This window comes from Homo sapiens, chromosome 11, assembly GCF_000001405.40.
Source record: "Homo sapiens chromosome 11, GRCh38.p14 Primary Assembly".
Taxonomy (NCBI): domain Eukaryota; kingdom Metazoa; phylum Chordata; class Mammalia; order Primates; family Hominidae; genus Homo; species Homo sapiens.
The window spans coordinates 66,749,620-66,764,276 of NC_000011.10; the positions used below are offsets into that span (position 1 = coordinate 66,749,620).

Genomic DNA, 14,657 nt, shown 5'->3' on the forward strand with positions numbered 1-14,657 from the left:
AGTGGCGCAATCTGGGCTCACTGCAACCTCTGCCTCCTGGGTTCAAGCAATTCTGCCTCAGCCTCCTGAGTAGCTGAGATTACAGGCAGCTGCCACCATGCCTGGCTAATTTTGTGTGTGTGTGTATTTTTAATAGAGATGGAGGTTTCACCATATTGGCCAGGCTGGTCTCAAACTCCTGACCTCAAGTGATAGTGATCCACCTGCCTCTGCCTCCCAAAGGGCTGGGATTACAAACGTGAGCTACCGCACCCAGCCTATGTTTATATATTTTTTTTGGGTAGGAAACGTGGTGATACATGCTTGATAAAAAACATTACAGAAACATATATTGTGGAGAGTGAGACTTTCTACACATCTCACGCCTTTGAGATGATTATTAACATTGAGTATATATTCTAGATTTTCCTTTTTCCCCCTACTTGCCAAGGATAATCTGTCTTCTAGATTTTTCTATGCCTACGTTCTTAGTTATCAATATCCATTTTTTAGAACTAGAACTATACTATACATATGACTGTGCTATGTACCAGTACTTTGTGGGCAGCATTTCATGTTAGCATAAGGGATCTATTTCATTTTTTTTGTAAAAAAATGTACACTTATTTAGTTTTAGTTTTTGTCAGTTACACACACATATGGTTTTGGCTGGGTGTAGTGGCTCATGCCTGTAACACCAGCACTTTGGGAGTCTGAGGTGGGCAGATCACATGAGGTCAGGGGTTCGAGATCAGCTGTCCAAAATGGAGAAACCCTGTCTCTACTAAAAATATAAAAATTAGCGGGTTGTGGTGGCACACACCTGTAATCCCAGCTACTCGGGAGGCTGAGGCATGAGAATCACTTGAACCTGGGAGGACAGAGGTTGCAGTGAGCCAAGATCGCACCACTGCACTCCAGCCTGGGTGACAGAGTGAGACTCCATCTCAAAACAAACAAACAAAAAACCCGACAGTACCCTGCGTGCTTCCCCCATCTCTCCCTTCCCATCTTTCTCCCTCCTAGAGGCTAATACTTTTAACTCTGTTAATTGATTATTTAATATTTATCTTTGATCTAAGTAACATGTTTGTGTTGTTGTATCTTTTTTTTTTCCCCCAAATATGGTCTCACTCTGTCACCCAGGCTGGAGTGCAGTGGCACAATCATAGCTCACTGTAACCTTAAATGCCTGGGCTCAAATGATCCTCCTAACTCAGCCTCCTGAGTAGCTAGGACTACAGGCATGTGCTACCATGCCTGGTTGTTTTATTTTTGTATTTTTCTAGAGACAGGGTCTCTTGCTATGTTGCCCAGGCTGGTCTGAAACCCCTGGGCTCAAGCAGTCCTCTCACTTTGGCCTCCCAAAGTGCTGGGATTGCAGGTGTTAGCCACCACGCCTGGCCAAGATGTTATTTATTTATTTATTAATTTAGAGACAGGGTCTTACTCTGTCACCCAGGCTGGACTGCAGTGGTGCAATCACTGCTCACTGCAGCCTTGACCCCCTGAGCTCAGGTGATCCTCCCACCTCAGCCTCCTGAGTAGCTGGGACTACAGGCATGTGCTACCATGCCTGACTAATTTTTGTTTTGTTTTGTTTTTGTTTTTTGAGGCAGAGTCTCACTCTGTCACCAGGTTGGAGTGCAGTGGCGCCAGGATCTCGGCTGGCTGCAACCTCTGCCTCCCAGATTCAAGCGATTCTCCTTTCTCAGCCTCCCAAGTAGCTAGGACCACAGGTGTGCACCACCACGCCCAGCTAATTTTTGTATTTTTAGTAGAGACCAGGTTTCACTACGTTGGCCAGGATGGTCTCGATCTCTTGACCTCGTGATCCACCCACCTCAGCCTCCCAAAGTGTTGGGATTATAGGCGTGAGCCACCGTGCCTGGCTGACTAATTTTTTTTTTTTTTTTTTTATAGAGATGAGGTCTCCCTATGTTGCCCAGGCTGGTCTTGAAGTCCTGGACTCAAGCGATCCACCTGCCTCAGCCTCCCAAACTGCTCGAATTATAAGCATGAGCCATTGTGCTCAGCCCTAAATTGTTATATCTTAATTTTCCTTTTTATAGGCATTTATTGATTTTCCACCATAGAGGATGATGGCTCTCTTTAATATCTTCACCTCTACCATGTGTCTTTCTTTTAATATAGTTATAATTTTCCAACCACGTAGATCAATATTTACTCATCATGACCATAAAATGCAGTTTAGCCATATAGAAAACTATGATTACTTTTCTTTATAATTTCCCTTCAGTTAATACTTATTTTATTTTCTGTTTTTATCATCTAGTCAACTCGCAAACTTCCAGCATTTGTCTAAATCTACTCAATATATTCCAGTACATCAGATAATATATCAGTTTCATCCTCCTGAAAAACTCTTTTCCAGTGTATCCTGACCTGCTCTAATTTTGACTTGATGCTTTCTGTATCTGGTGCACAGCTGTTACCTTGGAATCTTCCCTTCATCATTATTCAGAGTGTTTCTGTAGTTTTTCTCTTGCATTGGATTTTGTGCTTCCTGAATCCCTCTCTCTCTTTTTTTTTTTTTTTTTACTTGGCTTACTCCTTGCTTTGATGGATCTCAGGCTCCAGTAGCTTCCTTGGAAAGAGTGTTTGGAAGGTAAATTTCTTGAGACCTTACATCTCTGAAAACATCTCCACGTATACCTAATTGATAGTTTGGCCATATAGGATTCTAAGCCAGAATTCATTTTTCCTTCAGAATTTTGATGACATTGCAGCATTATTTTCTAACTTAAGGTGTTGCTATTGAAAAATCTAAAAATCTTTCTGATTACTCTGTATGTGACCTGTTTTTTCTTTTTTCTTCCCCTCTGTGTAAGCTTTCATTTTTATTTTTTTGAGATGGAGTTTCACTCTGTCACCCAGGGTGGAGTGTAGTGGCATGATCTCGACTTACTGCAACCTCCGCCTCCCGGGTTCAAGTGATTCTCCTGCCTCAGCCTCCTGAGTAGCTGGGATTACAGGCGTTACACCACCATGCCTGGCTAATTTTTGTATTTTTCATAGAGATAGGGTTTCATCATGTTGGCTCGGCTGGTCTCGAACTCCTGACCTCAAGCGATCCACCCACCTCAGCCTCCCAAAGTGCTGCGATTACAAGCATGAGCCACCGTTCCCGGCCTCTCTGTAAGCTTTTAGAATCTTCTCTTTATCCTTGTATTAATTACAGTAAATAAGGGTAGGTGCTATAACAAACCCTAAAATCTCAGTGGCTTGGCCAGGCGCGGTGGCTCACGCCTATAATGCTAGCACTTTGGGAGGGTGAGGCCAGCGGATTGCCTGAGCTCAGGAGTTTGAGACCAGCCTGGGCGACACGGTGAAACCCCATCTCTACTAAAATACAAAAAATTAGCCAGGTGTGGCAGTATGCGGCTGTAGTCCTAGCTACTCCAGAGGCTGAGGCAGGAGAATTGCTTGAACCTGGGAGGCGGAGGTTGCAGTGAGCCAAGATCACACCACTGCATTCCAGCCTGGGTGACAGAGTGAGACTCCGTCTCCAAAAAAAAATATATATATATCAGTGGCTTAACACATAAAATGTTTAGTTTTCTTGTATTTCACAGTCAGATGAATGTGTGTGTATGCAGGCAAGCAGGCAAGTATTTTGTTTTATGCTATCTCTGTCTTGCGGGTGTATCCTTCTCTAAGTCCTCTAAGTTCTCTCCAGCTAAGGATGGGGAAAGAGAGCAGAGCTTATAAATGGAAGACTTTTATGGGGTAGGCTCGGGAATTGGTATGTTACTGCTGCTCACGTTCTATTGGCCAGGACTTAGTCTTTTTTTTTTTTTTTTTTGAGACAGAGTCTCACTCTGTCACCCAGGCTGGAGTGCAGTGGCATGATCTCTGCTCACTGCAAGCTCCACCCCCTGGGTTCACGCCATTCTCCTGCCTCAGCCTCCCGAGTAGCTGGGACTATAGGTGCCTGCCACCACGCCCGGCTAATTTTTTGTATTTTTAGTAGAGACGGGTTTTCACCGTGTTAGCCAGGATGGTCTCTATCTCCTGACCTCGTGATCCACCTGCCTTGGCCTCCCAAAGTGCTGGCATTACAGGCGTGAGCCACCGCGCCCGGCCATGTTTTTATGTTTTTTAAGACAGAGTCTCATTCTGTTGCCCAGGCTGGAATGCAGTGGCATGATCTCGGCTCACTGCAACCTCCACCTCCCAGGTTCAAGTGATTCTCCTGCCTCAGCCTCCTCAGTAGCTGGGATTACAGGTGTCTGCCACCACACCCAGCTAATTTTTATATTTTTAGTAGAGACAGAGTTTCACCATGTTGGCTAGGCTGGTCTCGAACTCCTGACATCAGGTGATACGCCCAGCTCAGCCTCCCAAAGTGCTGGGATTACAGGCATGAGCCACCACGCCTGGCCAACCAGGACTTAGTCTTATTGCCACAGCCCTGCAGTTGCAAGGAAGACTGAAAAACGTAGTCAGATTATGTGTTCAGGAAGAAGGAGAATGGGGTATTTGTTTGCGAGCACCAGCAGTCTCTGCTGTGGTCTCCATTGTCACAATGATGCACCTGGGTGTGGGTGTGTTTTCAAACATTGTGCTCAGCACTCAGCAAGACTTTTAAACCTGGAAACCCTTGTTCTTTGGTTCTGGGAGATTTTCCCTTGCATTCTCTCTTTTCTTTCCCCCCTTTCTGCAACTTCTATTATTTAGATATTAGACTTCCTAGACTGGTTCTTTTTCCTTTTTAAAATCGTTTCTCTCATAATTTTTATCTCTTCTACTTTCTAGGCATTATCTTTTTGAGTATATAAAGATTTTTTTAAAGTTTTCTTTTCTCCACCTCGTTCTTGTTTCCCTTGTATTGCTTTTCTTAGTCTGGTGTCTGTTTTCATGTTAGAAGCTTTCTTCAAATATCTTAAAATTACTGGTTGCTCATTTTTAAGAGTTAGAGACTATAAAGCTGATTTGAAATTTTAGCATCACTAAAAGGTGATCTAATTGGGCTTTTAACTGGGGAACTTTCTCTTCTCTTCAATATCAATATCTTTAGGTCTTTGCTCTTGGAATGACCAGATCTTTCAGTCTCTTACCAAGTGGGTAAAAGCCAGACTTGATTCTGGGAATGAGAGAGAAAAGGGGGTATTGGGTATCTCAGCATTCAGGGGTTCTGTTCACTAACTCCACTTGTTTTTAGTACAATTTTGATTCTCGTCCCAAAGATTGACACCTTGACCATTTTCAAGTATCTTCTCCCCAATCCACACCAAAGTTAGGGAGGAGCCAGTCCCTTGAATGCTGAGTGGAGGAGGGAATCTAAAGATTTATTTAAATTCATTTTTCAACAGACTCTCCTTAATTTATCTTCTACCTCACCCATACATTCAGAGGTTCCTGATACTGCCATGCCTGAGTGTTTTGCAATTTTATTATATAAATCAGGTTGTTTCTTGGCCTTCCCTGTCCCCTTATACTTAGATTACTCAGGTCTCCTAAATCCTTTCCTACTAGTCGTTCTGCTTTGTAGTTTCTAGATTTTTTTTTTTTTTTTGATATAGAGTCTCACTCTGTTGCCCAGGCTGGAGGTGCAGTGGTGTGATATCAGCTCACTTCAACCTCCGCCTCCTGGGTTCAAGAGGTTCTCCTGCCTCAGCCTCCTGAGTAGCTGGGCCTACAGGTGTGTGCCACCATGCCTGGCTAATTTTTGTATTTTTAGTAGAAACGGGGTTTCACTATGTTGGCCAGGCTGGTGTCGAACTCCTAACCTCAGGTGATCCACCTGCCTTGGTCTCCCAAAGTGCTGGGATTACAGGCATGAGCCACTGTGCCTAGCCTGTAGTGTCTAGATTTTTATTACAATCATGTTTGTCTCTTGTTTTCCATCCTTGTGGGTTTGTGCCCTTATAAATCTCTTTTCTATTATTTTATTGAGGTTTCAGGAGGGAATGAAAATAAACGTGTGTGTTCAATCGGCTGTCTTTACCTGGAAGTGTGCAGTGGTATCTTTTAAATTTGGTTTGAAATCTCTGCTCTCTAGGGCTGCTGTAACAAAGTACCACAAACTGGATGGCTTGAAACAAAATATATTTATTTTCTCACAGTTCTGGAGGCTAGAAGTCCAAAATCAAGGTCTTGGTATGGTTGGTTTGCTCTGGAGACTCAGAAATCTGTTCCATGCCTCTCTCCTAGCTTCTGGTGATTGCTGACAATCCTTGGTATTTCTTAGATTGTAGGTGTATCACTCCCTGCCTTCACATGGCATTCTCCTCTGTATTTCTCTCTTTCTTCACATGGCCTTCTTATAAGTACACCAGTCAATGGACTCAGGAACACCCTAATCCAGTATGACCTTGTCTTAACTTGCTGGCATCTATTTCCAAATAAGGTCATATACACTGGGGCTAGTACTTAAAACTATCTTTTGGGGGACATAGTTCAACCCACAACAGACTAGCAAATTTGATATCTGAGATGATTCATCTATCAGAAGCCAAGAGATAATTAGTTTTTTCCATCAGTAATTATTGAAGGCTTTAACAAATATGATTTTCATGATGTTTCCCAAAATGTATGCCACAGAATATTTATATGAGTTATAAGAAAGGAGTTATGTAGTCATTTAAATTTGGGAAATGTTAGTTAAAATAAGTTTTTAAACTATAGGTCTGTTCAGGACCTCTCATGTGCCAGTGTGGACTATGAAACATACTGTTTGGGAAATGCTACATACAGTTAACCCCCTTTTCCCCCCTTTTTTTTTTCTCAGGATGGAGTCTCACTCTGTTACCCAGGCCGGAGTGCAGTGGCGCAGTCTCGGCTCACTGCAACCTCCACCTCCCAGGTTCAAGTGATTCTCATGCCTCAGTCCCCCGAGTAGCTGGGATTACAGATGCCCACCACCATGCCTGGCTAATTATGGGTGAGGAGTGCTTCCACCTGCTCCACATCCTATCCAGCCCTCAATTTTCAGTTATATTTCCAATGCTTTTATATAAAAACGATAAAATTCTATCCTCCAGATGCAAAGATGACAGTAGAGACTTATCTGTAAAATACATATTTTAAAGCAAGCATTCCCCCAAATCCCCTCTATAGAACAGAAGATTATCTTTTTAAAACAATGTAAACAAAATTTTTTTCTGAGATGGGGTCTTGCTCTGTGTTGCCAAGGGTGGAGTGCAGTGGTGCCATCACGGCTCACTACAACCTCTGTTTCCTGGGCTCAGCTGATCTTCCCACCTCAGCCTCCTGAATAGCTGGACTACAGGTGTGTGCCATCATGACCTGCTAATTTTTGTATTTTTTGTGGAGATGGGGTTTTGTGATATTACCCAGGCTGGTCTTGAATTCCTGAGCTCAAAATATCTACCCACCTCAGCCTCCCAAAGTGCTGGGATTACAGGTGTGAACCACCATGCCTGGCCATAAGATGGTCTTTATAAAGGGCGGAGGCGGCGGTGGGGGGTGGGGGCGGGTGCAGGCACTGTGGCTCATACCTGTAATCCCAGCACTTTGGGAGGCTGAGGCGGGTGGATTGCTTGAGGTCAGGAGTTCGAGACCAGCCCGCCCAACATAGTGAAACTTCGTCTCTACTAAAAATACAAAAATTAGTCGGGCGCGGTGGCGTATGTCTATAATCCCAGCTACCCAGGAGGCTGAGGCAGGAGAATTGCATGAACCTGGGATGTGGAGGTTGCAGTGAGCTGAGATTGTGCCACTTCACTCCAGCCTGGGCGACAGACTCTGTCTCAGTGAAAAATAAAATAAAATAATAATGAAAAAGACTATCTGTTGTTAAATGTTCTGTGCTGCTTGGGCTTAGGCCTTTGGAAGTGTGTATCATTTATCCAGAATCACTTAAAATCTGGAAATCTAGAGTATTACTATCCAATAAAACTTCTTTGTGATGATGGAAATGTTCTCTGTCTCCTGTTTAGCAGACTAGTCATTCGCCACATGTGACTATGGAGTGCTTGAAATGTGGCTAATGTGACTGAGGAACTAAAATTTTTTTTTTGAGACAGAGTTTCGCTCTTGTTGCCCAGGCTAGAGTGCAATGGTGCAATCTCGGCTTACTGCAACCTCTGCCTCCTGGGTTCAGGTGATTCTCCTGCCTCAGTCTCCCAAGTAGCTGGGATTACAGGCGCCTGCCACCACGCTCAGCTAATTTTTGTTATTTTTAGTAGAGATGGGATTTCACCATGTTGGCCAGGCTGGTCTCGAACTCCTGACCTCAGGTGATCCACCCACCTCAGCTTCTCAAAGTGCTGGGATTACAGGCGTGAGCCACCATACCCGGCTGGAACTAAATTTCTAATTTAATTTAGCTAAATGTAAATAGCCACATGTAGTTTCTGGCTGCTGTACTGAACAGCAGTTTACAGAATGATGTTGCCTCTCACTCTAGTTCCGTGATTCTCAACCTTATTTCCCTGTCTGAAAGATGCACATTTTCTGAGGGATAGATATATTTCTATTGGTTCCTATGGCAATGATTCTTAGATTCTGAACTATGAGGTCATGTTTCTCTGGGGAAGGGCATATTCAATTTGAAAATAAAAAGCCTCTAGGTAGTTCTGATCTTTTTGTCCCCTCGTTGGTGCCTGCTTCCTTATTCACTGTCTACCCTGAATAATTATTGCTCTAAAATTTCTAATATTTATAGTTAGAACTCTAGGTAAGAGAATTCTTACCTGATACTGGTATTTTCTTTTTCTTTTTTTTTTTTTTTTTTTTTTTTTTTGAGACGGAGTCTCGCTCTGTCGCCCAGGCTGGAGTGCAGTGGCGCAATCTCAGCTCACTGCAAGCTCCGCCTCCTGGGTTCACGCCATTCCCCTGCCTCAGCCTCCTGAGTAGCTGGGACTGCAGGCACCCGCCACCACGCCTGGATAATTTTTTGTATTTTTTTTAGTAGAGACGGGGTTTCACCGTGTTAGCCAGGATGGTCTCGAGCTCCTGACCTTGTGATCCGCCCACCTCGGCTTCCCAAAGTGCTGGGATTGCAGGCGTGAGCCACCGCACCCGGCCGGTATTTTCTATTTAAGGGTAAAATTGGTTAGAAGAAGAGCCAAAGTTTGAATTGACTCGTATATTAGGATATGAGTTATTGACACGATATATTCTGATTACTAGCTGCAATTTGCAGTCTTCACATAATCTTTTTCTGTCAAGTAGAGTATCATCCAAAGAGGCAGTCCTGGTGTTGATTGTGGGTGGATGTTGAATATAGGTGAAAATACTTGCTATTCGGTTATCTCTAAGAAGTTATTTTTCCTCAAAACAGTCATTGTACCATTATAGTATTTCTTTGATGTTTCCATTTTTACCAAACTCATTAGTAGTGGTCACTTTTTAAATGTTCTGTGTCTGTAAGCAGTTTTTTAGACTCTCATTTGATTCTTTCAATAGAATGCATTTACTTATTTGTGATATTTCTTTGTATTCTGTTTCTTACAGTTGCTTCTGCAGGAAGCCTTTTTGGTGGCATGGTCCTCAAGAAGTTCCTAAAAGGTAAAGAATTACCTAACTTCCATGAGACTGAATATCTTCCCGACAATTAATTTGATATTTTCTGAAACAAATTTATAATGAAAGAAAGAGCTGACAGATTTATAAATAAAAATACAGGATGCCCACTTAAATTTGAATTTCAGATAAATAATAATTTTTTTAACATAAGTATGTCTCATGCAGTACTTTATCCTACATTTTATCTGGCTTCTGATTAAAAGATGATCTATTAATATAAAACTGTATAGAATTGACAAGATACCTAGATCACTGTAGCTTTTCTGTATACTCTGTATACAACTTTAGGCAAAATTTTCCCAGATGTAAAATAAAAATTTTAGTAGGTATTTGTTTCTATCTACTTCAAAGAAATAATGTGTGGAGAATGCTTTTACTGTAAATGATTGGCTAGCAGTAATAATGTTTTCCACATTATATGCCAGAGTTGGTACGGTTTAGGAGTTTTTGCTGACCTTAGTTTTAAGAATTTATTTATTTATTTATTGAGACGGAGTCTCACTCTGTCACCCAGGCTGGAGTGCAGTGGTGCGATCTTGGCTCACTGCAACCTCTGCCTCCTGGGTTCAAGCAATTCTCCTGCCTCAGCCTTCCGAGTAGCTGGGACTACAGTTGCATGCTGCCACACCCAGCTAATTTTTTGTATCTTAGTAGAGATGGGGTTTCACCGTGTTGCCATGCTGGTCTCGAACTTCTGAGCTCAGGCAATCTGCCTGCCTCGGCCTCCCAAAATGCTGGATTACAGGTGTGAGCCACCATGCCTGGCAGAATTTCTTTTTATTTTTTTGGACTTAAGAATACTCTACAAGCCAAAGGCCATAACATTTATTTTAAGGAAGCCAAAATGACCTTAGAACTCTTACGCTTTCATTTTTATTTCTTATGGTTGTTTGCTACATAAGTATTATCCATTGGCCTATTTTTTCCTAATGAATTGTTAATTTACAAATTTTACAAAATAACTTTTAAAAATAAACTTTCCCAGACTAAATCTGGAATATTAATAGATTTTTAAAAGCTTATATCTGTCCTTGCTTTAAGAAAATATACTGTAGCCAGGCCCAGTGGCTCATGCCTGTAATCCCAGCACTTTGGGAGGCCAAGGCAGGCAGATTACCTAGGTCAGGAGTTCAAGACTGGTCAACATGGTGAATCCCCATCTCTACTAAAAATACAAAAATTAGCCAGGCATGGTGGTGCATACCTATCTATAGTCCTAGCTACTTGGTGGGGCTGAGGCAGGAGAATCCCTTGAACCCAGGAGGCAGAGGCTGCAGTGAGCCAAGATCATACCATTGCACTCCAGCCTGGGTGACAGAGTGAGAGACTCTGTCTCAAAAAAAAAAAAAGAAAACATACTGTGTATTAAAATGGCAACAACTGGCCAGGCACAGTGGCTCATGCCTGTAATCCCAGCACTTTAGGAGGCCAAGGCAGGCGGATTGCTTGATCCAGTAGAACTTTTTGGAGTTCAAGACCAGCCTAGCACCATCACGAGACCCCATCTTTACAAAAAAAAAAAAAAAAAAAAAAAAAAAAATTAGCCAGGGAAGGTGGTGCACACCTGTACTCCCAGCTACTTAGGAGACTGAGGTGGGAAGATTGCTTGAGCCTGGGAGGTAAAGGCTGTAGTAAGCCGTGATCACACACCACTGCACTCCAGCCTGGGTGACAGCAAGACTTGGTCACAAACAAACAAACAAAAAAAGGGAACAACCAAAAAGCTACATTGGAAAGGTATAATGTTATAAAATAAATGTTTATGAAATGTATTACCATTTTTTAATGACAAATTTTCTTCGTGCTTTGTAAAATGCAAATCAATTAAAATTTGAATTTATACCCAAATTTATAGCAACTCAATTATTACTTAAAGCACCTTTTTTTTTTTTTTTGGAGGAGATAAACCCATTTTATTGTCTATCATGTTATACAAAAATCTAGAAATAATAGATTTGTATAGAAAACAACGATAGGCCGGGCGCGGTGGCTCACGCCTGTAATCCCAGCACTTTGGGAGGCTGAAGTGGGCGGATCACGAGGTCAGGAGATCGAGACCATCCTGGCTAACACGGTGAAACCCCGTCTCTACTAAAAATACTAAAAATTAGCCGGGCGTGGTGGCGGGCGCCTGTAGTCCCAGCTACTCCAGAGGCTGAGGCAGGAGAATGGGGTGAACCCGGGAGGCGGAGCTTGCAGTGAGCCGAGATTGCGCCACTGCACAACAGCCTGGGCGACAGAGCGAGAGACTCCGTCTCAAAAAAAAAGAAAAAAAGATAAAAAGGAAAAAAGAAAAAAATGATAATAAATGAGGGTGCAAAACATAGAATTTAAATTTGGTATTTTTTCCCCATGATATTAGGATGATAATCATTTCAAAGCACATGTCTAGCTTCATAGTAGGATTTGTTCACTGGCCAAAGCCTGCCATAAAACTATGGCTTTCAGTGTCTGTCTGCTCTACTGGCTCTTGACAAAACTTTTGAGGTCTTCAAGAAAAGTAATGTACGCCTGGTGCTCCGGGGCTGTGCGAAGCTCCACCAACTCATCTGCAAAAATGTTGTCCACCCCTTGGTCCGCAAGGAAATCCATTAGGTGGTCATATAAGGCCCAGTCCAGGGAATCTGTGTTGAGTGTATAGTTAGTATCCTTCCATTCAAACTCGCTGGTGGACCAAAAGCTAACTTCCCTGATAGAGAAGATGTCACTCAGCCTCCTCTTCTTGTCCAGCTTCATCCTCTGGATAATGACAGTCCAGCACAAGGGCCTTCTTGCCATCATTCTTTATAGCTTCAACCACGAAATGGGGAGTTGATATCAATTCAGGGTCTTCAACCTTCTGCCCTTGCGAGGGTTCCTCCTCACCATCAAATGTTGGTGGGATGCTGTTGTTAATATTGAAAGTGACAGTGATTTTTTCCCCCCAGCAACTTTCCGCACTAATTTAGCTTCTGTCCCATTCAGTTCCAGCTCCCAAACTCCAGACATCTTAGGAAGGGTTTTATGCTTCTGGATTTTCCTTTCCTCCTGAATTTCATCACTCAGGAAATCAATCAAAGCTTTGTCTCCTTCGCACGCCACACCCACAGCCGGAGGTGCAGGGCCCGCGAGGCCGCAGGGGGCCCGGCCGCAGAACACGCGCGCAAACTGAGCAGCCTGAAGGGCGGGCGCACAGCCGGGGCGCCGGCCAGGAGCTGCCGGAAAGGCGGGGCGGGCCCCGGGGGTGTGGAAGCCGGCGACGCAGAAGCCCAGCATATGGGGCACTCAGCGCAGCAGTGGCAGCATGGCGGAGAGGACTGCGAACATGTGCGGATGCAAAGGACAACCCAGGCCTAGGTACCCAGAGTACCCTTTTTTGTTTGTTTGTTTCTTTGAGACGGAGTCTCGCTCTGTCGCCCAGGCTAGAGAGCAGGGGCGAGATCTTGGTTCACTGCAACCTTCCGCCTCCTGGGTTCAAGCGATTCTCCGGCCTCAACCTCCTGAGTAGCTGGTATTACAGGTGCGCACCACCACGCCCAGCTATTTTTTGCATTTTTAGTAGAGACGGGGTTTCACCATGTTGGTCAGGCTGGCCTCGAACTCCTGATCTCGTGATCCGCCTGCCTCGGCCTGCCAAAGTGCTGGGATTACAGGCGTGAGCCACCGCGCCCGGCCAATACCTTTCTTTATCTTGGTCATATCAAAGAAAACAAACTATTTTTACAACTCAGTTACAAGATGAATACTCTAAAGACACAAATATATAGGAAACAATTCTACCTTTTGAAACTTCTTTTCTGAAGTAATTTTTAGTTGAAGAATGGAGACAGGCCAGCTGAAGTGTCTCACACCTATAATACCAGCACTTCGGGAGGACAAGATGGAAGAATCGCTTGAGCCCAGTAGTTAGAGACTAGCCTGGGCAATATATTGAGACCCCCATCTCTACAAATAAAGAAAATTAGCCAGGCATGGTGGGGCATACCTGTAGTCCCAGCTACTCAGGAGGCTGAGGCAGAATTGCCTGTGCCCAGGCATTTGAGGCTGCAGTGAGCTATGATCATGCCACTGTGCTCCAGCCTGGGTGACAGAGTAAGACTGTTTTTAAAATAAAAAAGAATGAGGACTTAAAAATGCTTGTTGCTAAATGAAGTGATCAGATGTATTCCCCTTTTCCTTTGTAAATTGTCTTGGCCCTCTGAATCTACCTTCCAACTGTCTGTATCCTTGGATATTTTACAGACTTCGGCTTTTGCTCTGTGACCCTAATTTTGTTTAGGTTCTACTTGGTGTGAGCACATTAATGTTTTTTGTTTTATTTTGAGCACATTTAAAAACTAATTGTGGAGGAAAAGTAATAAAAAATGAGATTTTAAACATTATTATTATTATTATTATTAGAGATGAGGTCTCACTATGTTGCCCAGGCTGGTCCTGAACTCCTGGGCTCAAGCAGTCCTCCCACCTCGGCCTCCCAAAATGCTGGGATTACAGGCATGAGTCACTGCACCTGTCCTATTATTATTTTTGAGACAGGGCCTTGCTCTGTCACCCAGACTGGGGTGCAATGGTGTGATCATGGCTCACTGCAGCCCCAAGCTCCTGGACTTGAGCCATCCTCCAGCCTCAGCCTCTTGAGTAGCTAGGGTCACATGTGCACACCTCCATGCCCAGTTACTTTTTAAATTTTTTCTAAAGATGGGATCTCACTTTGTTGCCCTGGCTGGTCTCAAACTTCTGGTTGGTCTCAAGCTCTCATGCAACAGCCTCCCAAAACGTAGGGATTACAAGTGTGAGCCACCCTGCCCAGCCAAGATTTTTATTTTAGCTCCAGAACATTCTGTGAGCATTTGGTAAGAATGTTCTCCCTTTAGTATTAATCACAATGATAATTTATTGAGCATTTACTATGCATTAGGCCTTGTGCTCCACTTAAAGGTAGTTATAGTAGTGAACAAGACAGATTTGGTTTCTCCCTTTATACCCCTAGTGAAGATACCTTAATTATTCTATTGCCTCTTTAAGCCTATGCCTAGAAAAAAGGGAATATCAGCTATTGTCCTGAAGAGTTTGCTCTGATTCTGAGACTTTTGGGAGATCTGAATCCAAGTTCAAGAATCATGGGCTGACTGCTTCAAAAACATCTAATTATTTATAAGTTTTTCCTTGTTCATTTTTGAATT

General features: G+C 43.3%; 1 protein-coding gene and 1 pseudogene across 2 annotated transcripts in view; one reads left to right on the forward strand and one right to left on the reverse strand.

Annotated features, from left to right (window-relative positions):
* TOP6BL (TOP6B like initiator of meiotic double strand breaks) overlaps positions 1 to 14,657 on the forward strand; it is a 98,748-nt gene that overhangs the window by 4,851 nt on the left and 79,240 nt on the right. The window contains exons 3-4 of one of the 2 annotated variants that reach the window (NM_024650.4): positions 6,734 to 6,886; positions 9,424 to 9,477. In NM_024650.4, the coding sequence (NP_078926.4) occupies positions 6,734 to 6,886; positions 9,424 to 9,477 (207 nt within the window). The remainder of the gene's footprint in view (positions 1 to 6,733; positions 6,887 to 9,423; positions 9,478 to 14,657) is intronic. The other variant, NM_001302084.2, reaches the window with a different exon arrangement.
* Positions 11,784 to 12,837, reverse strand: C1QBPP2 (complement C1q binding protein pseudogene 2; annotated as a pseudogene).